At 50.4% G+C, this 22231-nt stretch overlaps 1 protein-coding gene across 5 annotated transcripts in view, besides 1 other annotated feature; it reads left to right on the forward strand.

The window, feature by feature from the left end:
• Positions 1 to 22231, forward strand: part of CMIP (c-Maf inducing protein) — a 266955-nt gene that overhangs the window by 118647 nt on the left and 126077 nt on the right. The gene's annotated exons all lie outside the window — the stretch shown is intronic.
• Positions 18726 to 19543: an enhancer, noted in NCBI's record as "H3K27ac-H3K4me1 hESC enhancer chr16:81615785-81616602 (GRCh37/hg19 assembly coordinates)". NCBI's record gives its function as "activates a minimal SCP1, AML or CMV promoter by ChIP-STARR-seq in primed H9 embryonic stem cells {active_cell/tissue: H9 hESC(primed)}" and the evidence as "EXISTENCE:reporter gene assay evidence [ECO:0000049][PMID:30033119]".

The raw sequence follows: 22231 nt of genomic DNA on the forward strand, positions 1-22231 counted from the left end.
TCTATGGACCAGCAGCGTCAGCCTCACCTGGGAGTTTGTTAGAGATGCAGCATCTGGGGCCACACTGACACGTACCGCATTATAGTCTGCATGTTTACAAAACCCCCAGGCGATACATGTGCACATTAAAGCTGAGACACTGGTGTGGACTGAGCAAGGTGGTTCGGGTTCCATATTGAGCATGATGCTGTTGCATGGCAATCGGTACGCTTCTTGCTTGGCGTGTTCTCTTATTATCATGAGCTGTGCAATCTTGGGCCGTCTCTCCTAGACTCTTAGCTATTATTATGGGGCTTCATGGTGCAGAGGTGCCCTGGGAGACAGATCAATGTCTAGAAAAGCTTCTGCCTTTTAGCCCTGATTCTGCTGAGGGAGGGTCAGCACTGTCGGGGCCATTAATGGCACCTTGGAAGAGCCGCCTTCCATTGCAGACCACAAGCTGGACACCCAACCCCATGCTGCAGCCTAGCTGTCTCCAGCAGCTGGTGCCTGGGTCTGGCTTTCAGGGCCCGTCTTCCTGGGCTAGAAAGAGCTGCAGAGCCTGAGCCCAGGGCCAGTAGGCCAGCCATTCTCCCATTTCGTCCTCTCCTTCTACCTAGCAGTTTTAGGACAGATTGATATATGTGGTCTGAAAAAGCCACTGGGGCAGGTAGGACAGAAGCAGGTGGTGACATCACAGTGGAGCCCAGATTTTAGTTGGTCAAATACACCTGCCAGGGGAGAAAAGAATGCCGCCCTCACACAGGCAAGGAAGCTGGGCACCCGGGGGTGGGGTGCTGAGAATAGACATTTTTGCATTGGGGCCTTCCTCCATATCACCCCTACTTCCAACCCCACTTAAGGTGCCTTTCTTGGAGGAGTCTCCGATGTCTAAAATGTGCCCATGCTGAGCTCCAGGGACTTGATTTAAAAGTACATATGTGTCTTTACGAGTGTGTGTTATACATGTAATGGTCTCAGAGCAGAAATAAAACCACAAAGCTATTACAGAGGAATCTAGTCTTCCATGTAATGTGGCTCTGAGCTCCTCCCTGGAATCCCCTAGAGTTGATGTGGGGGGAAGAAGGAAAATAAGAGAATGAGAAGAAGCAAAGCTGGCCTCTGCCAGCAGCCGGGAGCCAGGAGTTCTCAAGCTCGAGGCTGCGCCGCAGTGCCAGGGAGCCTGTTCCAAGAGTGTGCTCTTGAGACAATGGGGCAGTGGGTCGGGCTGCTCTGGATTTTAAACAAGCAAGCCTGGGTGATTCTGATGCTGATGACCCTGCAGATTGCACTTCTAGAAATTGGGGACTAGGGGAAGAGTCAGCAAGTCGGGCACACAATAGGTGTTCGATGAATATTTGATGAGTGGAGGCATGTACGTGGGAATGAATAAAACATGCTCAAGCTAATGGATGAGCACACAGAGAATGAATTCGCAGAGGAGAACATGCGGGGAAGAAGGCATCCTTGGAATGAGTGCATGTGTGCCCGGGCGACTGTATGCAGGTGGGAGGCATGAACCTGTGGGGGGTGGGCATTGCAGGGCAGGAGGGGATGGAGCAGGGGTCTCCAGAGGGGGTTTCATGAAGAGGTAGTGCTCGGGGGTGCCTGGTGAAGGGCTAAGACCCTTCAAGCGGGGCCTTAAGACATTTTAGCTGATGGCAGGCTCAGTTTAGGGAGTGGGGGAATGGCATGGTAACCATGGCATTACAGAAAGCCCTCCTTCGGCCAAGGGATGCCCCAGCCCCAAAGACAGGGCAGTATGTGAACTTCAGCCCAAGATCTGGGCCCAGATGGATAGGAGGCTTGTACCATGGCCCACCTTCCAAAGGAAGATTTGCCCCACTGGGTGGCAGTGGGCTTTCTCCAAGAAGAGGAGCCTCTCTCCCTGTTCCAGATGCAGATCCCAGCAGCCCAACTCCAGGAGTTGTTGGCAAGCAGGTGGGCAGGGGCCAGAGCCTGCGGCACCTTCATCCCTGCTCCTCTCTGCACTCCATCCTCCTGCTCCCCTCCTGGTAACACAGGGCCGCCAGCTTCCCCTGGTGCAGACTGCAGCTCAGCATTGCCAGGGAGACCATCTGCCCTTCTCACTCCAGTCTTCACATCCCCCAGAAGGAACCCATATCGGTGGGCTCAGGCAGATGCTGACTTCTGGACTGGTCAACTGTGGCTGCCAGGTGGGGTCCTAGTACACACATGGCAGCCTCCTGTGGTAACCGTGGCATCCTCATGGCAGCGGGGCAGGGGAGATTCAGAGGGGCAGGGAGTGACACAAAGACAGCGGCTGTCTGCCACCTGCCCCCTACCCAGGAGGGGTTTGACTCATTCGTGCTGTCATTCAACACACACTGATTGGCTTTCCTGTCTGCCTCCTTCTGGGGCACGGCGCCGCCTCCTTCAGGATGTGCCGACTCTCACCCAGCTTTTCCCAGCCCTGTGTTGGGCTGGCGCTTGGGGAGCGGGCACAGATGTCACGGGGGGACATGCCCCTGCGCCCTCCTTCACCTTTCAGGACCAGAGCCAGAGAGTTTCCCGAACACTCATAGCCAGCCCGGAGACTCCAGGCGAGAAACTCGGGAGGCCGAGGCAAATAGTTGGTTCTTTGAGGCTGAAATTGGGCAGCGGGGGACCTGGGAGACGTTGACTGTCGTGTGTTTGGACAAGCGAGGCTTCTGCCACTCTGTCTCGGACAGTCCAGGGGAGACAGAGGTGCTTCAGATTGGAGGCTGCCCTCTCCTCAAGAAGGAGGGTGCGCCGGTGTGGCTGGATGAGTTGTGGCTTCCAGATAAAATTATGTGCTTGGGGTTTAGTGGACTTAGGCCTTATTCATGCTTCTGTGTTTGCTCAGCCTACCAGGCCCCGTACCTGGTCTCCCAGCCTCCTGGGGACACATCGGGTTCCTTGCTGTTCTTTCAGACAGTGAAGGAGCCTTCCTCCCTCACTGCTGCTGTTCCTTCCTTCCTGTCTGCTCTTTCTCAGGCAGGTCCTGCTCATGGTGCCCACCCATGCTACACTGGGTGAGGAGGTCATGGAGCTGGAGCCACGCACAACTGGATTTTGGTACCACAGCTTTGCTGTGTGACTCTGGGTATATTACTAGATCTCTGTTTCTTCATATTCAAGGAGGCCTTCCTAGGTTGCCTGCTTACCAGGTCTTGGCAGGGGTCTAATGCATTCATTCCTGCTTCTCCTAGGACCCAATGATTCTACTCCCAATTCTGTTCCCAAGAGAACTGAGTGCTTCTGTCTACTAACAGACATAAACAAGAATATTCAGAGCAGCCTTAGTCATAGTAGCCTCCAACTAGAAACAACCCAAGTATCCATCAACAGTGGAACAGATAAACCAATTGTGGCATAGTTATACAATGGAGTACTACACAGCAATGAAAAATAAACACCATGGATGAATCTCACAGATATTATGTTGAACAAAATAAAGTAAAATGAGTACATAGTGTATTATTCCAGTTATAGGAAGTTCAAGGTCAGACAAAACTACCCTGTAGTGATAGAGGTTGGAATGATGGTTACTTCTTGAGGGAATTGCCAAGAAGGGACATGAGAGAGCCTTCTAGGGTGCTGGGTGGTGGTCACATGAGTGTGAGCATTTGTCAGGCTGTATGCTTGCCATCAGTATGTATGAGCGACTTCTCGTACCTCCTGCACCCAGAGACAAGCATCCTTCAGCCATACAGTTTCTGTGGATGCTCACTGGGTCTTCGGAGCCATGTGTCCGGCTGGGAGGAATTCCCACATCGAAGTCCGAGGCTTTGCCGCCTGGCGGAAACCCCGCACCACGGGAGCTTGTGCTGCTCTCAGGGCAGCTGCAGACTTCCCTGAAGGGACTTGCTTGTCCTAGAAGCATGTCATGCAGTGAGACACCGCTGCTACAGGGCGGAATCCACTTCTTTCCATTCTTGGATGTGGCATCCGTGGCAGGTGTTGGGAGGGTGGCCTGGCCACATCCTCACCTTCCCCGGGCCCAGGAGCTCCAAGTCAGGCAGTATTTGGGCCTCAGGAAAACAGTGTGGCCTGGAGGGAGGCAGACTCACTTTGGGAATTCCCTTGCTGCACAACTTTGGGTAAGGGATGCCACGTCTCTGGGCCTCAGTTTCCACTTCACACCTTCAGGGATGGTGTGAGGATCACCCAAGAGACCACATGGGAAGTGTCGGCCCCTTGCGTGGCTAGAAGCTAGGCTGAAAGTCCCTTTCCCTCTCACAGTATGCCACGCCGCCCTCAGGACCCTCCTGCTCTGCCTCTCCATGCGCTGCTCCTCTGCTGTGTCGTCTGCACAGAACTGACCACCTTCTAAAGGGCATTTGCCTTATTTCGTCCCCGCTTCTTGTCACCTCCCCGAAGCGCAGAGATTCTTGTTTATTCTGTTCACTGCTGTATATCTGCAGCCCTGGGCACGTAGTAGGTGCTTGATAAATAGTTGTTGACTTGACTTGTTAGCAGCTGGTAGAAGCTTCCCCTAATGTTTCATTCTCCAGGCTTTATTTTGAGTGAAGTTGAGGCCAGAAGGCCTCAGTATCCTCTTCCAGGGATGCTGGGAACTGTAGACTGGATGACCGTGAGCTTTTCAGTGTGTGTGTGTGTGTTTTTTTTTTTTTTTTTTTTTGAAGCTGGAAGAAACTGTACAGAAAAGAGGCCCATTTTGCAGATATGGAGACCAAGGTCCAGAGGGACCAGGGCCTTGCCTTCTAGGGCACCTTTGATGGGAGAATCCGTAGGCTTGATGTTGAGGTCCTTCGGTTTGTCTTTCTGCCTTTTCATTGCAACTCCAGGGGGAGAGGGACCCTCTGGCCTCACCCTTGGCTCTGACCTCAGTGCGGTCAGTAAAGTCTGCCTTTCCCTCTAACTTTCACCTCTTTCTCCCCACTGCCTACGTGCCTGCCCTCTGCCCACTGAAAGTGGGAGCATCAGAAGGGAGCTGTGCCCCCAACCCCCATGTGAGGGACAGATCAGCAAAAGCCTCAAAGTCCGTGGGCCGTGTGTCTCCCATCTCATTGTGGCTGGGGCCCCGGGCAAGGGCACCGTGCCTCGGGAGTGAGTCACTCTCTCTCTGTGCCAGGCAGGAGCTCCAGGGACTAGGGGTGACCCAAGAGTGAAGGCCTGATGGGGAGGAGGACCCGGCATGACAGCCCTTGGCTTGCTGGGGGAGGAGAGTGGAAACTTTTACATTTGTTTCTCGCTTTCAACCCAGTAAGTAGGAATCAGCCTAACAGATCAGCAAGAGCCTCAAACCTTGGCTCGTTCTGTTCAAGAAGACAGAAACCACAAAGGCAAGGAGAGCTGGAGTTGGCTCCATAACAAAGTGACCCTTGAGCGTGGAAAAGCAGACCAGCAACCAGCCTCGCCATAAACCAGTCTGAAAGGCGAGTGGGTGACCTGGGAAAACGCACTTGTGGCCCAGTTGACAATTGAAGGGTTAAATGACCTTAATAAGCCGAAGTAGCTGTGAATCAGTGAGAAACTGTGACTGCCTCAAGGGGAAAAGGTGCAAAGAACAAAAGAGAAATACAGTGAAAAACTGTCAGCTTCTCAAAAATCAAAGAGATGTAAATTAGAACAGGGGGTGCAGTTTTTCACCTGGAGAACTCGCAGAGGTTTAAATAAGATCGTACATTTTACGAAGAAGGCATCTGTAGCACCCTTATGAATGCTTTCCCTTCTGGGTGCATAATCGCCCTCCTCTAAATTGGATGCTCTTGGGGTGACCTCACCTGGTTCTCTCTCCCCATCACCCTGTATCCCTTGAGAATATCTGTAGTGACAGCTCCTGAGCACCTGTTGTGTATCATGCATTCTATACATACTGTCTCATTCTGGGGGTTCCATTGTTCCACTTCGCAGAGGCAAAAACTGAGGCGCAGAATGATGAAATGACTTCGGCGAGGTACCCCAGTAGGTAATGGAGCTGGCATCTGAACCTAGGGTAACCAGCCTCAAGCCCGTGCTCTCCTTTTTTGCTTATTTTCCACCACTGTTTGGTCCCTGGCTCTCCCAGAGGGACATGGCACTGGCTGGGCCTCAGGGGATCCTGGCTTCTCTTGAATTCAGTGTTACCTTCCAGCTGCCGAGACCTGCAGGAACTGATTCCACAGGACAGTCCTGCCAAGGAGGCAAGCGGGCCAGAGAGAGGCGGCAGCAACTTTCTGACAGGTGCCGGGGAAGTCCCGATTTGCAATGCTTGCCCGTTTCTACTGTGTAAATACTTACACTATGGCCAAAGTGAGATGCTTAAATGCAGAGTTTGGAAAAGATGGGCACAGTTGGCTTCTGGGAGCTGGAAAGAGCTGGCTTAGCCATAGCTTCACCACTGCCCAGGTGGGTGACTTTGACCTGGTGTCAACCTCTCTGAGACTCGGTTTTCTCATCTGTAAAATGGGAGCAGTATTTGCTGCATAGGGTGGTTGATTGTGAGGATTAAATGAGTGAATGTGTGTCTAGCGCCTGTACTGTGGTAGGTGCTGTCTAAGCGTTCGTTATGAGTGCACTTAACTTTCATTCATTCATTCATTCATTCATTCATTCAGCTTTCACTAACTTCTTCAGCCCTCCAGCATCTGTCTGTCAAAGCCAACTGTCCACCAGGCCTGTGCTAGAATCTTCCTTTTCCCTCTCTCCCTTGGAGTATCAATGGGGGAAGGGGGATGGCCTCACCCCTTCTGCAGACGGGCTTGTCTGGATCCTTGTTTGCTGTGATTTGAGCCAAGGACAGCTGTAGTTTTTTTGTGTTTTTTAGAAATTTCCACTTGTGTGGCTGCCTCCCTTGGTGTAGCCACAGAGGGGGTGGAGAAGGCGCATCCTCTGGGGGTCGTGGACCTTCCAAAAGCCAATCCTAGCACCCCGTGTTGTCAGTTTAGAGGCAGTGGCCTGGGAACTGGCAGTAGACTTCCGGGATGGCTGTCGTGGGGCCAGTGCTGTGCGGGGGAAGCACACTGGCGGTGAACCTGGCTTGGCTGCTTCTCAGTGGACTGCCTTGGGCAAACCACTGCTCCGTTCTGAGCCTCGGTGTATTTTTTTAGTCTATAAAATGTGCTAACAATGGCCTCCTGGCAGGTGGTGGGACCGCTAGTTTTGAAGAAGCCGAGGTGGAAACGCCAGGGAGCCCCACCCTACCCCTGTGGGACATTGAGAGTCTCCAGACTGATCCCCTTCTTCCTGGAGGCCCCAGCAGGTCCCTGGGAGGAGAACCAGGGATGGCCTGAGGAAAGGCTCTCCCTGGCAAAAACGCGGTCCTGTTTGAACTTGGTTCTCTGTTAACATGTGCTGAAAGGAGACGCCGGTGCTCTGTCTCTAGCGATCCCTGGTTCCAGGTCCCCATTCTGTTCCCAATCCAAGCCTTTGGGTCGTTAGTCCTCCACCAAGGCCACCAGTGATCAGGACCTCTGTTTCCAGAGCCCTCCTGTGTCCCAGGTGCGTGACTGGGACAAGTCTGAGAAATGATCACAGCCCAGAGGAGCCTGCGGACACGTGATGATGAAATGTCCCATGGGGTCGTGAAACAGAAAAGGGACATTAGAGAAAAAAACTGAGGAACTCTGAATCAACTGTGGACTTTAGCAATAAAATGTTTTAATATTATTTCATTAGTTGTAACAAATTCACCACACTAATGTCAGATGTAAATAGTCGGAAAATGAGGTGTGGGTATGCGTATGGGAACTCTAGGTACTAACTCAGCAGTTTTTCTGTAAATCTGAAGCTATTCTCAAAAATAAAATCTGTTAAAGAAAAAAAGACAGGCGGGTGCAGTGACTCATGCCTACAATCCCAGCATTTGGGAGGCTCAGGTGGGAGGATTGCTTGAGGCCAGGAGTTTGAGACCAGCTTGGGCAACATAGTGAGACCCTGTCTCTAGCAAAACTAAAAAATTAGCTAGATGCAGTGGTGTGTGCCTATAGTTCCAGTTACTCAGGAGGCTGAGGTGAGAGATCTTTTGAGCCCAGGAATTTGAGGCTGCAGCGAGCAGGGATCACGTCACTGCATTCCAGCCTGGATAATAGAGTGAGACCCTATGTCATTTAGGAAAGAGCCCAGCGCAGTGGCTCACATCTGTAATCTCAGCATTTTGGGAGGCCCAGATGGGAGCCCAGGAGTTTGAGACCAGTTTGGGCAACATAGTGAGATCTCATCTCTACCAAAAAAAAAAAAAAAAAAAAAAAATTAAGAAAAGAAAAGAAAAAAAAGGCCTTCCAAAGAGTTGCAGGCTCACAGGGGATCTTGGTACAGACGAGCAAGCGGTCCCTTCCTTGGTGTGTGTAGGACATGGCTTAGTGAGCACGTCGTGCACCTTGCGTGTGTCCCATTCAGCACCATGGCTGCTCATACCCTGCCTCGACCGTGCGCGGGAGCCCTGCTTCCCTGGCTGGAAGCCTCTCCCTTGATGCCCAGGAGAAATAGCCTCTTGCACTAACAAGGGTGGATCTGTGCTTAAATTACCTCTTACCTGGTTCATCCCAACTCTCTTCCAGCCCTTTCCTCTGCCCCCACCCAGCTGCCCTCAGCCTTCAGCCTCACTGGAGGAAGGGTGTCTCGGAAGAGTTGCATCATGAGACCCTTGGTGGAGTCGCTCACCAGGACGGCCTTGGCCCCGACCCTGGCACCAGCCCAGGGTGACTTTGATGTCGTGTTCTGGCGCGTCCTTGGGCCCATTTCCCTCCTGTCTCCCGGGGGCTCTTTTGCATGTTCTTCCCAAGGCTTCAGAGACCTTCAGCTCCGCGTCTGAAGCAGCCATCTCTTTCTTGGATCTCAAGAGTGGTGATTTCTGGCAACTGCCTCAGACTCCATTTCTCATCTCTGTCTACAAAACTAGCCTGGAGTTGGGCTGTCGGGTTGGCCTGGACATCCTCTGAGCAGCGATTGGCCCTTGCCCTGTTTCTGTGAATGAACGCGGTCGCTCTTGGAAAGAGCCCCCACCACCTTGCAGATGTGCTGGGGTAGGGTGGGGGCGTGCGAGGTTGGATTACATGAGACTTTGGGTTCTTTCCTGCAGTCATTCCTAAGCGGTACTTCTCTGCATCTGGCCTTTAACAGTGAGTGGACGGGGCCAGTGTTCTTGGAGCACCTACTGTGTGCTTGCTCTGTTAGTTCTTTGTTTCCTTCCCTGACGGGAGTTAGGCCTTGCCACCCTTATGTTACAGACGGGGAGACTGGGGCTCTGAGAAGCGACTTCCCCAGGGTGCCCGGCCCGCACATGGTCGAGCGGGGGTCTCAAATCCCGTTGAGTCTTACTTCAAGTCCAGGCTCCTTGATCGCTGGCCCTGCTTGCCCTGGTGGCCCACAGTCCCAGAGTCAGTGGCGCCAAGGTCCCTCAGGCTGGTTGTGAAATCAGTTTGAGTGCAGAATGACGGCGGTTCACATCGAGCTTGGTGCCCACCCTGCTAGCCTGCCTGGGACTTCCCCAGCATTAGCACCAGCATCAGTCCTGCCTCCCAGGAACCCCCTCCGTCTCAGACACACCTCCATGATTGGTCCCTGCCTCACATCCCAGTTTCTTCAAATATCAGCAAGTTTCACACTGAGAGAGAAATGTAGATAACCAATAATAAAATGAAATGACCTCTGGTCCCTATTGTCAGAGCCATAATAGTGACATTACAAAAATGCACCTTTAGACCAGGTGCAGTAGCTCATGCCTGTAATCCCAGCACTTCGGGAGGCCGAGGCAGGTGGAACACTTGAGATCAGGAGTTGGAGACCAGGCTGGCCAACACGGTGAAACCCCGTCTCTACTAAAAATACAAACGTTAGCCGGGCGTGGTGGCGGGCACCTGTAATACCAACTGTTCGGGAGGGTGAGTCAAGAGAATTGCTTGAACCTGGGAGGTGGAGGTTGCAGTGAGCCGAGATCGCGTCACTGCACTCCAGCCTGGACAACAGAGCTAGACTCCATCTCAAAAAATAAAAAAAAAAAAAAGGCATGTTTTCCCTAATAGGAGCTGTCAGAATGTGAAGTGAAGCAGTAGTGTGGGAACCCTTTTAATAAGGAAAGGTATACCCTGCTATTCCTCATTTAAGGTTTTGGAAAGAAGTGGAGAGGAATTCCACCTTTGGCCTGGGATGCAGGAGACTGAGGACATCGAAGCTCATATTTGATGGTTAAAAAGTGGGTGTTTGTGTTGTTTTAAAAATAAGTACAATATATCTGTTACTTGTTGAAAATCGCTTTGTGGGTTCGGGGCCCTAGGGTTGGGGGAGGGGGAGGTCTAGCCAGCAGGACATCACCCATAGCATCAGGGTGTTGCTGAGAGAAGGGTTTTTTAAACCTCAGTCTCCTCATCTGTAAAATGGGCCTTGTTGTCATTCCTACCTCCCTGGGTGGCAGTGTAATGTGTAACGTGTATTTGTGCCAGTTAAGTGAGTTAATGTGCTTAACGCATGCGTGGCCCAGAGGCAGTTGTTCAAGAATGTGAGCTGTCAGTGTCCTGACTCCTCTTGAGCAGTGAGTGTGTCTCAGAAATAAGACATGCTTCGTTTCACCTACCCTCCATTTTCTACCAACTTTTGGGGGCGCCATTTAACACCCAAGCCTAGGCTTGACCCCTGGAGCCTTTACCTGGACTGCAATCTAGTATAGTAGTCACTAGCCACGTGTGCCTGTTCTATGCTAAATTAAACTTAAGAATTCAGATCCTTGGTCACACTAGCCACATTGTGAGTGCTCAGTAGCCACCTGTGGCCAGTGCAGATACAGAACATTTCCATCATCGTAGTACGTTCTGTTGGGCCGCGCTAGTCTGGAGGGATGCCTGGCTGAGGGCCCAGGGAGCCCACCTGCCCTACTTCCCTCACCTGCAGGCTGTGAATCTGATAACCCCACGGCCCCCTCCTCCAACTGCTTGGCCACCCTGCCACCTCTCAGCCCTTCTGGGGCTGCCTGTAGCCTGGCACCAACAACTTCACAGCCCCAGGAGTCCTGCTGGCTGGCAGGAGGACATGGCAGGGGTGCCAGGCTTGGCAAGTGGCACTGTTTTCTCAGCAGGACCGGGCGAAGCCCGAGTTCTCAGCTGGGTACAGCCGTGCCCCAGGTTCAGGGCATAATCCTTCAGGGAAAGGTGGAGATTTGGCAAAAGCTGGAAGGCTGTTGGAGGCTTTACTAATGGACAAATTGGAAAATTCAGTCACTAAAAACAGTGACGGAAAGGTTGTAGGTGATTCTGTAAGAAAGAGCCTTCGAGTATGGCCTGAAATACAGTTCCTCACCCTTGCTCAGTTTTTTCTTCCACTTCTGAGTAGGTTTGATGTCCCGGATGCTGGGCTGGTGCTGGGGATACAGTGGTGGCCTCTGTGGACAGGTCACCATCCCTGTTCTCGGGAGGCTCACAGGCCAGTAGGGGAAACAGGCACATGAAGATGCAGCTCACACTTCAGCTGACTGTCAGAGCAGACCACACTGCAAGATCACGTGGGCAAGGACAGGATTGTCCCCTGCGTATCCTAAGCCCCTCCACAGTAGCTGCTCACGAAATGGTTGCTGGAAGAGCATTTGCATAGGGCATTCTCTTGTTCTGAGCTCTTGCTCATTCCTACCTCATTTCATCCTGTAATGGGGATGGATACTCATTGCTCCCATTTAAGGACACAGGTGTGCCCTGCTGCTTCCTGAACCTGCTCAAGGAGAGTTGCCTCGTAATATAATAACTGAGTAACTGAGCACTTAACTTCATGCCAGCCATATGCTAAATGCATTACCCAGATTATCTCATTCAACCTTCACAACAAATGTACAAAAGACCTATTATTATCCCCAGTTTATGGAGGAGGAAACTGAGGCACAGGAGAAGTTAGGCACTTGGGCCTGAGTCATGCAGTGTTGGAATGGGGATGCGTCGGGCCTCCTCTGGGCTTTACCAGGCTCAGAACATTCCTAGAAGTGGACGTGGACTGAATTGGCCCCTTCCTCTCTCTCCCCACACCATCAGTGGAGACGACTACAAAGCTGTCACTGGCCCTCCTTTTCTAGCAGGCTCAGAGCAGGGGTGACACATGGCTACAGGGAGCAGAAAACATTGTCCCGAGTCGAGTCCGTAGATCATCTAGAGCAGTGATCCAGGCCCCAGTAAGGGAGGTCCCATACAGAGGCTGACTTCATCCATTAGTGCAGAGTAAACACAAGGGCCCTGGAGGCTGGAGCCAACACCCCCAGGACAACTCCCTGCTCCCTTTTGTATTGTCACCTCCTTGGTTCCTCTGGGGATGCTCCAGTTACTGCCAACGGGACAGCAGTGACATTGTAGCCCAAGACACCAGCATGTAAACGTTGCGTGTTTGGGAGGTGTGTGCTGGGCCCTGAAGAGCTCTGAGTTCAGGTCCTGCCTCTGGTCCTTCCTGGCCACGTGAGTCTGATGATGTGTGTGAGTAGGGGTCAGTGATGGTCTGTAAGGGCAGAGAACTTTTTCTGACACAGGTTCTGGCTCTAAGTGTGGCTATTTTAATTCCTTGACAAACACTTGGATACATTTAGTAGACTGGCTAAACTGTAAGACTTTTCAAAATAAGAGTAGTTCTTATAAATGCTTACTTAGTGCCTGGTTGCGCTAAGCAGTCACTAGGTATTATCTCATCTAATTCCTGTAACAACCCTCTAGGGTAGATACTAGCATTTATCACCAGATCTGAGATATCTTGTAAGATACTCCATTTTCTTGCATACCTCTAAGCAAGAAAAGAATGCGTCTAGGCGCAGTGGCTCACTCCTGTAAACCCAGCACTTTGGGAGGCTGAGGCGGGTGGATCACCTGAGGTCAGGAGTTCGAGACTACCCTGGCCAACATGGTGAAACCCCGTCTCTACTAAAAATACAAAAATTATCCAGGTGTGATGGTGCACACCTGTAATCCTAGCTACTCGGGAGGCTGATGGAGGAGAATCGCTTGAACCCGGGAGGCAGGGGTTGCAGTGAGCTGAGATCACGTCACTGAACTCCAGTCTGGGTGACAGAGCAAGACTCTGTCTCAAAAAACGGGGAAAAACAAACAAACAAACAAAAAACAGAAAAGAAAAGAATGTGCCCAGAGACTTATTATCACATCAGTTTTAAGGGAGGTTCAGTTGTACGTCTCTGAATTAATGAAACGCAGTATTATGTCCATTTTACAATGAGGAGATCAAGGCACAGAGAGGTCCAGTAGGTTGCTCAGGGATACGTAGCCAATGAGAGGCAGAGCCAGGACTTGAATGTCAGCACCCCGTTACTAGAGCGTGGTGTATTACCCACTGCTGTGTACTTGCTGCAGAATGATGTCTCCTAAGCCTAGTGCAGAACAGTGCTGAAGAACACAGGGTCTAGAGTTAGGCAGATCCAGGTGTGAGTCCCACTCCCATGACTTTCTAGCTGTGTAGCTTTGAGATGTCCCAGTACCTCTCTAAGCCTTGGTGTTCTCATCTGTAAAATGGAAGTGTCAGAGCAGGTATTAAATTTGGTGAAGCTTGAGAAGTACTTGGTCGTAGTGGAGGCTGCTCTGATCACATCATCACCACCACCACAATCAACAGCAGCATCACTGTCACTGTCATCATCACCACCACTATTAGCATCACCACCAACATCCCCATTACCACTACATTATTATCACTATCACCATCACCATCATCACCATCATAACCATCACCTTTATCACCACCATCATCCCCATTACCACTACATTATTATCACTATCACCATCACCACCATCATAACTATCACCTTCATCACCACCATCATCCCCATTACCACTACATTATTATCACTATCACCATCACCATCATCACCATCATAACCATCACCTTTATCACCACCATCATCCCCATTACCACTACATTATTATCACTATCACCATCACCACCATCATCACCATCACCTTCATCACCACCATCATCCCCATTACCACTACATTATTATCACTATCACCATCACCATCATCACCATCACCACCATCATAACCATCACCTTCATCACCACCATCATCCCCATTACCACTACATTATTATCACTATCACCATCACCATCATAACCATCACCTTCATCACCACCATCATCCCCATTACCACTATATTATTATCACTATCACCATCATCACCATCACCTTCATCACCACCATCATCCCCATTACAACTATATTATTATCACTATCACCATCATCACCATCACCTTCATCACCACCATCATCCCCATTACCACTACATTATTATCACTATCACCATCACCACCATCATCACCATCACCTTCATCACCACCATCATCCCCATTACCACTACATTATTATCACTATCACCATCACCATCATCACCATCACCTTCATCATCACCGTCATCCCCATTACCACTACGCTATTATCACTATCACCATCACCATCATCACCATCACCTTCATCATCACCGTCATCCCCATTACCACTACGCTATTATCACTGTCACCATCACCATCATCACCATCACCTTCATCATCACCATCATCCCCATTACCACTACGCTATTATCACTGTCACCATCACCATCATCACCATCACCTTCATCACCACCATCATCCCCATTACCACTACATTATTATCACTATCACCATCACCATCATCACCATCACCTTCATCACCACCATCATCCCCATTACCACTACTTTATTATCACTATCACCATCACCATCATCACCATCACCTTCATCACCACCATCATCCCAATTACCACTACATTATTATCACTATCACCATCACCATCATCACCATCACCACCATCATAACCATCATCCCCATTACCACTACATTATTATCACTGTCACCATCACCATCATCACCACCATCATAACCATCACCTTCATCACCACCATCATCTTCGTCACCACTGTTACAGCATCACCACTATCACCATCGTCATCATTTAACTAAAAGTGAGAGACACTGCATATAAGGTCTCTTTCCTGCTCTTCCTGGGGTCTTTGTCATAAAGAGTACAGAGTCCCTTAATCTCTCCCTGGTCAATGGCAGTCCCAGCCCTGAGCTATGTGAGTGCTGGGTCTTGTTACTTTGAATTGTATACCTGAGCAAGGGGAAGAACACAGAGAGAGTTCTCCAGATGTTTTGTGTCTCCCTCTCTCCTTCCTTCTCCAAAAACGATCTCATCTCGGAGCTCACATTGGAGAGAGCTGTCCTTGTGAATTTCCCCACCCCTTCCTCTGGTCCCTTCAGTCCATAAAGTATGAAATCTCCATGCCATGGGCTGGTGTGTAGGATGTTCTTCCCAGCCAGTTGGATAAAGACATTTTGGTTTTTTGCACGTGGGAGACATCACAAAAGACTGTGCATACATCCTCTGTGTCCCTCTCTGGGGACCATGGCCTGGAAGCAGCCAACACCTGCTCCCTTCCTGCACTGGCGTCGGAAAAGTTCCATGGCAGATAAGCCCGTGCCATTGCAGGGAAGCCTTCACTCCAAAGCCACTTGCTGCCCCGGAGACCTGGCCTGCGAGGTCCAAGGTTGTGCCATCTGACCCCAGATGCTTCTTCTCCTTTCTGTGCTGGCCAGTGGGAGACAGCAGAGGGAACACTGGACTAAGAGTCAGGAGACACAGTTCCAGATCTAGCTCAGCTTCTTCAGCTCCAGAAAGCAATTTGCCTCTCCTGAGTCTGTTTTTCTTCCATAGAATCTCGGATTCAGATAAGAATTCCAGTTGACCTAGGGCAAGCACCCTCGCCTCTCTGTGCCTCAGTTTCCCCTGCAGGGACATGGGGATGGCACCCCCCTGCCTCCTAGGGCTATTGCAGGGATGATAAGGGGTTACTTCTTAACAATGAGGAGGAAGATGAAGGTGAAGGGTGGTGGCGGTCCTTGCAAGACAGAGGCCAGCAGCTGGTCCTCCTGGGGCCTCCATGGGGCAGCTCTCAGGTGTGGAAGGCATTCACCTTTGTCCCTCTGACTGGTACTCTTTGGCCCTAGCTCTGCTCTCTTGAGCCACCACAAATCCAGCCCCTTCCTCTGTGCCCCAAAACAGCCCTCCAGACCTCGGAAGCCAGTTTCTAACTGGACAGCAATCCTGCCCCTTAGTGTCATGTTCACCTTGAGCCTCCTTCTTGAAGGAAACCAGCAGAACCCTGCCAGGCCCTTTCTTGGTTGTCTCACTGGGAAGAGGGAAAATGTGGACTTGGAGAGATTGTCCCTGAACCATAGCAGGTGTGGAAGAGGTAGAGGGGGCATGGCCCAGCCCTGCTCCCCCCTGAAGGCAACACCTCCCGCTGAGTGTCACCTGCCTTCTGTTTTAAGGGACTCTGGGCAAAGATTTCATGTAAAAAAAGAGTTCTGCCACTTAAAAAAAAATGGATCACGAGGTCAGGAGATCGAGACCATCCTGGCTAACATGGTGAAACCCCGTCTCTACTGAAAAATACAAAAAAATTAGCTGGGCGTGGTGGCGGACGCCTGTAGTCCCAGTTACTCGGGAGGCTGAGGCCGGAGAATGGCGTGAACCCGGGAGGCGGAGCTTGCAGTGAGCCGAGATCGCACCACTGCACTCCAGCCCGCCTGGGCGACAGTGCGAGACTCCGTCTCAAAAAAAGAAATTAAAAAAAAAATGATATGACAGGTTTAAAAAGTTTGAAGCTAGGATAACTGTGGCTCAACTTGTCTTTCTGAAGAACGGATATTTCCAGTAGAATGGAACCAGTGTCTTGGGGCTCCCAAGAGTTCATTCTCCCCTTAAGATGGAGGCAGGGGTTTCCTAACCTGCTTAGCTGCCTTGACACCCTCCCTCAGCTCCCATTCCTAATCTCCAGCTTTACAGCAGCTGTGATGTAGGGCCTTGAGGGCAGGGCCGTGATCAGACCCCTTTAGGGGACAGACAAGAATCAGAGAAGCGAGGTGCCCTATGTCTCCCGGCTCTGGAGCCTGTTTGTGACATGGTGAGCTACACGCTGGGCACTAAGCTAAGGTATTTTTGTCTTTCTAATTGAGATAAATTCACCTCATATGAAATTGCCCACTTAATTTATTTTGGGTTTGTTTTCTTTCTCTTTTCTTTCTTTTTTTAATTTTTTTATTTTTGAAATGGAGTCTCACTCTGTCACCCAGGCTGGAGTGCAGTGGCGTGATCTCGGCTCACTGCAACCTCTGCATCCTGGGTTCAAGCAATTCTTGTGCCTCAGCCTCCCAAGTAGCTGGGACTATATAGATGCCTGCCACCACACCCAGCTAATTTTTGCATTTTTAGTAGAGACAGGGTTTTGCCATGTTGGCCAGGCTGGTCTCGAACTCCTGACCTCAAGTGATCCACCCGTCTTCGCCTCCCAAACTGCTGGGATTACAGGCGTGAGCCACTGCTCCTGGTTGCAGTGAGCCGAAATCATGCCACTGCACTCCAGCCTGGGCAACAGAGCGAGACTCTGTCTCAAAAACAAACAAACAAGAGCATAGTTCAGCGGCCTTTAGCAAATTCGCGATGTTGTGTAACTGCCACTTCTATCTAATTCCGAAACCTCTTCTCCACCCCAGCACGAAATCTCGTGCCCATTAGCAGTCATTCCCCATTCCCCTCTCTTCCAGCCCCCTGACAGCCATCAATTTCTGTCTTTTTGGGCTTTCCTCTTCTGGACTTTTCATAGCAGTACAATCACACAGTACATGGTCTTTTTCCACTGGCTTCTTTCCCTCAGCGTCATGTTGTCAGGGTTCTTCCGTGTTGCAGCATGTGTCAGCACTGCCTTCCTTTTGATGGCAGAATGATACTCCATTGTCTGTATGTATCATTTTTCTTTCTTATCCATTCATCTGTTGATGGACGTTTGTGTTGTTTTCACCTTTTTGGCTGTCGTGAATAAGCGGCCGTGAGCATTCTTGTACAAGTGTAGTCATGCATTGTTTCACGATGGGGATACGTTCCGGGAAGCGCGTAGTTAGGTGATTTAGTCACTGAGCGAACATCCTGGAGTGTGCTCACAGAAGCCTCGATGGTGTAGCCTGCCTCACACCTGGGCTGTGAGGTGCGGCTTATTGTTCCTAGGCCACAAACCTGTACAACAGGTTACTCTACTGAATACTGGTGGCAGTTGTAACATAGTGGTAAGTATTTGTGTGTCTAAGCATATCTAAACATAGAAAAGGCACAGTAAAAATATGGAATCATAATCTTATGGAACCGCAGTCATAAATGTGGTCCATCGTGACCAGAACGTTGTTATGCAGTGCTTGGCTGTATTTGTTTGAGTCCATGTTTTCAGTTCTTTGGGGTATTCACCTAGAAGGGGAATAGCCGAGCTTGGCATTTTAGGAATAGTGCTATCCTTATTCCTCACCATAACACCCTGAGGTTGCTACAGAGGGAAAACCGAGGCACAGGGCAAGGGAACCACTTCCTCACGCAGACAGCTCTGGGGTGGCAGAGCTGGGGTTGGGACCCAGGGAGCCTGATCCCCAGAACCCTTTAGTCCCTGCTCTTTTCCTTCTCTGCAGAGGGGCCTTGTATTAATCAGTTCTTACCTTGCTCTAAAGAAATACCTGAGACTGGGTAATTTTAAGAAAGGAGGTTTAATGGGCTCACGGTTCTGCAGGCTGTGCAGAAAGCATGGCAGCATCAGCTTCTGGGGAGGCCTCAGGTGGAAGGCAAAGGAGGAGCCAGCACATCACATGGCTTGAGCAGGACGAAGAGAGCTGGCGGGGAGAGGTGCCACACACTTTAAACCACCAGATCTCATGAGAACTCACTATCACGCCAACAATACCAAGAGGGATGGTATTAAATCCTGAGAAACTGCCCCCATGATCCAATCACCTCCCACAGGCCCCTTCTCCAACATTGGGGATTATAATTGAACATGAGTCTGGGGTGGGGACACAGACCCAAACCATGTCAAGCCTCTTCCCCAAATGTTCAGCCCAGTGCCTCCAGGAACCCCTCCTTGGAATATTTTTTTTGCCAACTTGCCAGGGTGTCCCCAGTCTCCTTGAGCGTGACAGGGCCAAGGCAGTGCTTCTGAAAGCCACTTATCAGACTGAGCTTGAGAAGGGATGTGTGGGGACTGGGAAGGGTCCTCAAAGGCCTCCCCTAAAGGGTAGCAAGTGGTTTTTCATTGCTCCCTGGAGTCCAGTGGGCTGGGTTTTCAGTTGTAAGGACCTCTGAGCTTTGAGTCATCTGTGCACCTTGTTGATGGTAAACGGAGGAACACCCTGCTTATTCAGAGACCACTTTCCAGCAAACACTCCGAACCCAGCCCAGAATCCAGGTAGAGAAGTGTACCAAAGTCACGGTGGCTGCCACACTCTAACTCTTTGGTTGCATTCCCAGCAGGGCCTCGCTCCCATGCAGGGCACAGTCCTGACTAGTGTATTGCTTGGGTTTCCAAGACCATGAAACTAAAAGCAGCAAATCAGGATGAAGCAAGAGGGAACGCTTTCATGAACGGCGAGCGGAATGCCCAACAGCACAAAGTCGGCGGGGGTAAAACGAAAATGACAGAAAGAAAATGAAGATAAAGAGTGCACGGCAGTTGGGGGACACCATTCGGGGGCCAGCAGCTCTCCACTGCTTCAGGAGCTCCTGACGGTGGCAGTGTGGGGTAGCAGATGCTCCAAGGGACAATTGCATCAGCAAGAAAGGGCAAAGGCTACTCCCTGCCATCTGCTTAAAGCGAGGAAAGAAGGAGTGTTTCTATCTAAAATTATTTAAATTTCTCTAAAGGGCCTTGGCACTCAGAGGGTAAGCTCTGGCTGGCATTGCCTCTGACCTTGGCCGTCTGATCAGGCAGTGAAAGAAGGAATTGTTCCTGGGGTTGCAAGGGAGTTGCTGCCAACATCTGGCCTGCCTGGCCCCTTTGTCTCCCTATTGACGGCGACAGCATTGGGCAAGTCCTGGGCCTCATGTCTGTGCGAATGTCCCCACCCTGTCACCGGCACTTCCCCCCGGGGTCGGGGCTCCGGGCCTCTCATACAGCTGTGGGCCTGATGGTAGAAAAGGAGGCTCTGTTCTTTAACCCTGAATGGGATCGGCCACTGATCTATTCTTGTCACTTGTTGAGCAACTGTTCTAGGCTAAATCTGAATTCTTTCTCAGTTAGTGCCCGAATTTGCTTTTTAAAAATAAGTCATTGGGAATACTTGACCCTGGGCAGAGAGCGGGACCAGCACTCAATGAAACTTGTCAATAGAGTTTCTCACGGCCGGGTCACAGACGTGGAGGGAGTGACTGAGTCCCAAGAGAAGACCCACTGTCTCACTGTGTTTCCTCTCACTGTCAGCCCCAACCGAGGCTTATTGGGGGTACTTTGTTTCTCCTTTGGACCTAAAGTCCTCTGTCTGTCGTTGCAGAGGCACTTCTAGATACCCCTTTCCCAAGTGGTTTCTGGGAAAGACGAGAGCATCTGAAAGCCTTATGGAGGCTACTGAATACAAGGCCAAGGGGGCTGGATTTTTCTCTGTAGGCAAATCAGGGATATTCAAAGTCACTGAGCAGAGGAACAACACATTTGAGTTGTGTTTTGGGAAGAAAACTCTGGCGACAGTGTTTTGGGTAGAGAGGGAATCGTTGGAAGCAGGAAATAAAGATTGGAAGCCTTTGGAATATTCCAGAAGAAAAATAAGAGGAGGCAGAGGTAGGATAGAGGGCAAGGGAAGGTGTGGAGGAATTGAAGGGCAAGAAGCAGCTGGCTCTGACCCTGGTGACTCACTAGATTCAAGGGCTGGGAGCGCCGAATCCAAGGGAGAAGTGGAGTTGGAGTGTGGCCGAGCAGTAGGCGTGGTTGCCACAAGCCAGGCCTGGGAAGACGGCCCCTAGCGCCCACCAGCACCAGGTGGTGGGTTCAGCTTGCATTGCCATCACTGGAGTGTAAGCCCCCTACTAGAAGGAAAACTCCTTGGAGGCAAGGAGCTCTTTCTGTTTTGTTGAACAATGTGTCCGTAACACCTAGAACATGCTGGAAGTACTTCGATGTCCTCCAGCAAGCACTCCGTAAATATTTGATGAATGAATAAACTGTGAGTCTGAAGCGTAGGAAGGAGACTCTTAATCCAGTTTTTAGGTTGTTTGTTTCAAGCTGAGTGTAAGGCCATGTTTGTATATGTGTTTTATGTGTGTATATATGTATGTAAGTGTAAAATCATCCTTCTTTTTGTCAGAATGACCCTGTTTTTACCTCGAGTGGTCAGAGTAGTCTGTGAGAATGGCTGAAACCATTGGTCTGTTAAGAGTGTGCCCGTGTAGATCAGCTGCAGTCCCACATAATGACAGGAGCCTTGGTTCATCCAACTAGGAAGACTGAAGCTCATGGAAATAAACATCAAACTAGCCCGGCGCCGTCCATCATCCGAATTATCAACACATCGTGAGATGCCAGGAAATGACTTTCTGTTCTTGAATTGGCCTCTGGAGGAATCCCCTGAGACCCTAGTACTTCATTCTCCCTCTGTCCAGTAAAGGAACGCTTCTGCAAGGAAGGGGTTCATGTGGCTGTGGATGAAGCCTGCTGGGCCTGGATGCCTCCATGAGTCAACTCCCCCAACTGTTCAGACCCCTGTGAAGGGAGAGCAGAGGCTTTGAAATGGCCATTTTAATATCACCCGTAAGTTTGGAAAATTCTTAGAATTCATTGCATTCGTGTGGAACTTCTTTTTCATTGAGGTGAAATTCACATAATGTAAAAACCACATGTAAATGTACAGTTCGGCCAGGCATGGTGGCTCACGCCTGTAATCCCAGCACTTTGGGAGGCTGAGGTGGGCAGATCACTTGAGTTCAGGTGTTTGAGACCAGCCTGGCCAATATGGCAAAACCCTGTCTCTACTAGAAATACAAAAATTAGCCAGGCATGGTGGTGGGCACCTGTAATCCCAGCTACTCAGGAGGCTGAGGCAGGAGAATTGTTTGAACTCAGGAGTTGAGGTTGCAGTGAGCCGAGATTGTGCCATTGTACTCCAGCCTGGGCAAAAGAGTAAGACTCTGTCTCAAAAAATAATAATAATAAATGTACCATTTGGTGGCATTTAGTACATTTATAATGTGCAATCACTACCACTTCTATCTAGTTCCACAATATTCTCATCACCTCAAAAGGAAACCCGTGCCCATCAGCAGTCAGCCCTGCTCCCCTCCTGCCAGGCCATGACAGCCGTCTGATTTCTGTCCTGTGGATTTGCCTATTCTGGACATTTCATATACGTGGATCAATTCCATTCTGAAACCCTTTGTATCAGGCTTCTTTGATTTAGGATCACATTTTCAAGGTTCATCCATGTCGTAGCGTGTGTCAGTACAAATTTAACGGCAGACACCGCATGGCACAGTACCTTTT

This window comes from Homo sapiens, chromosome 16 (assembly GCF_000001405.40).
Source record: "Homo sapiens chromosome 16, GRCh38.p14 Primary Assembly".
In the NCBI taxonomy this organism is placed as follows: Eukaryota; Metazoa; Chordata; class Mammalia; order Primates; family Hominidae; genus Homo; species Homo sapiens.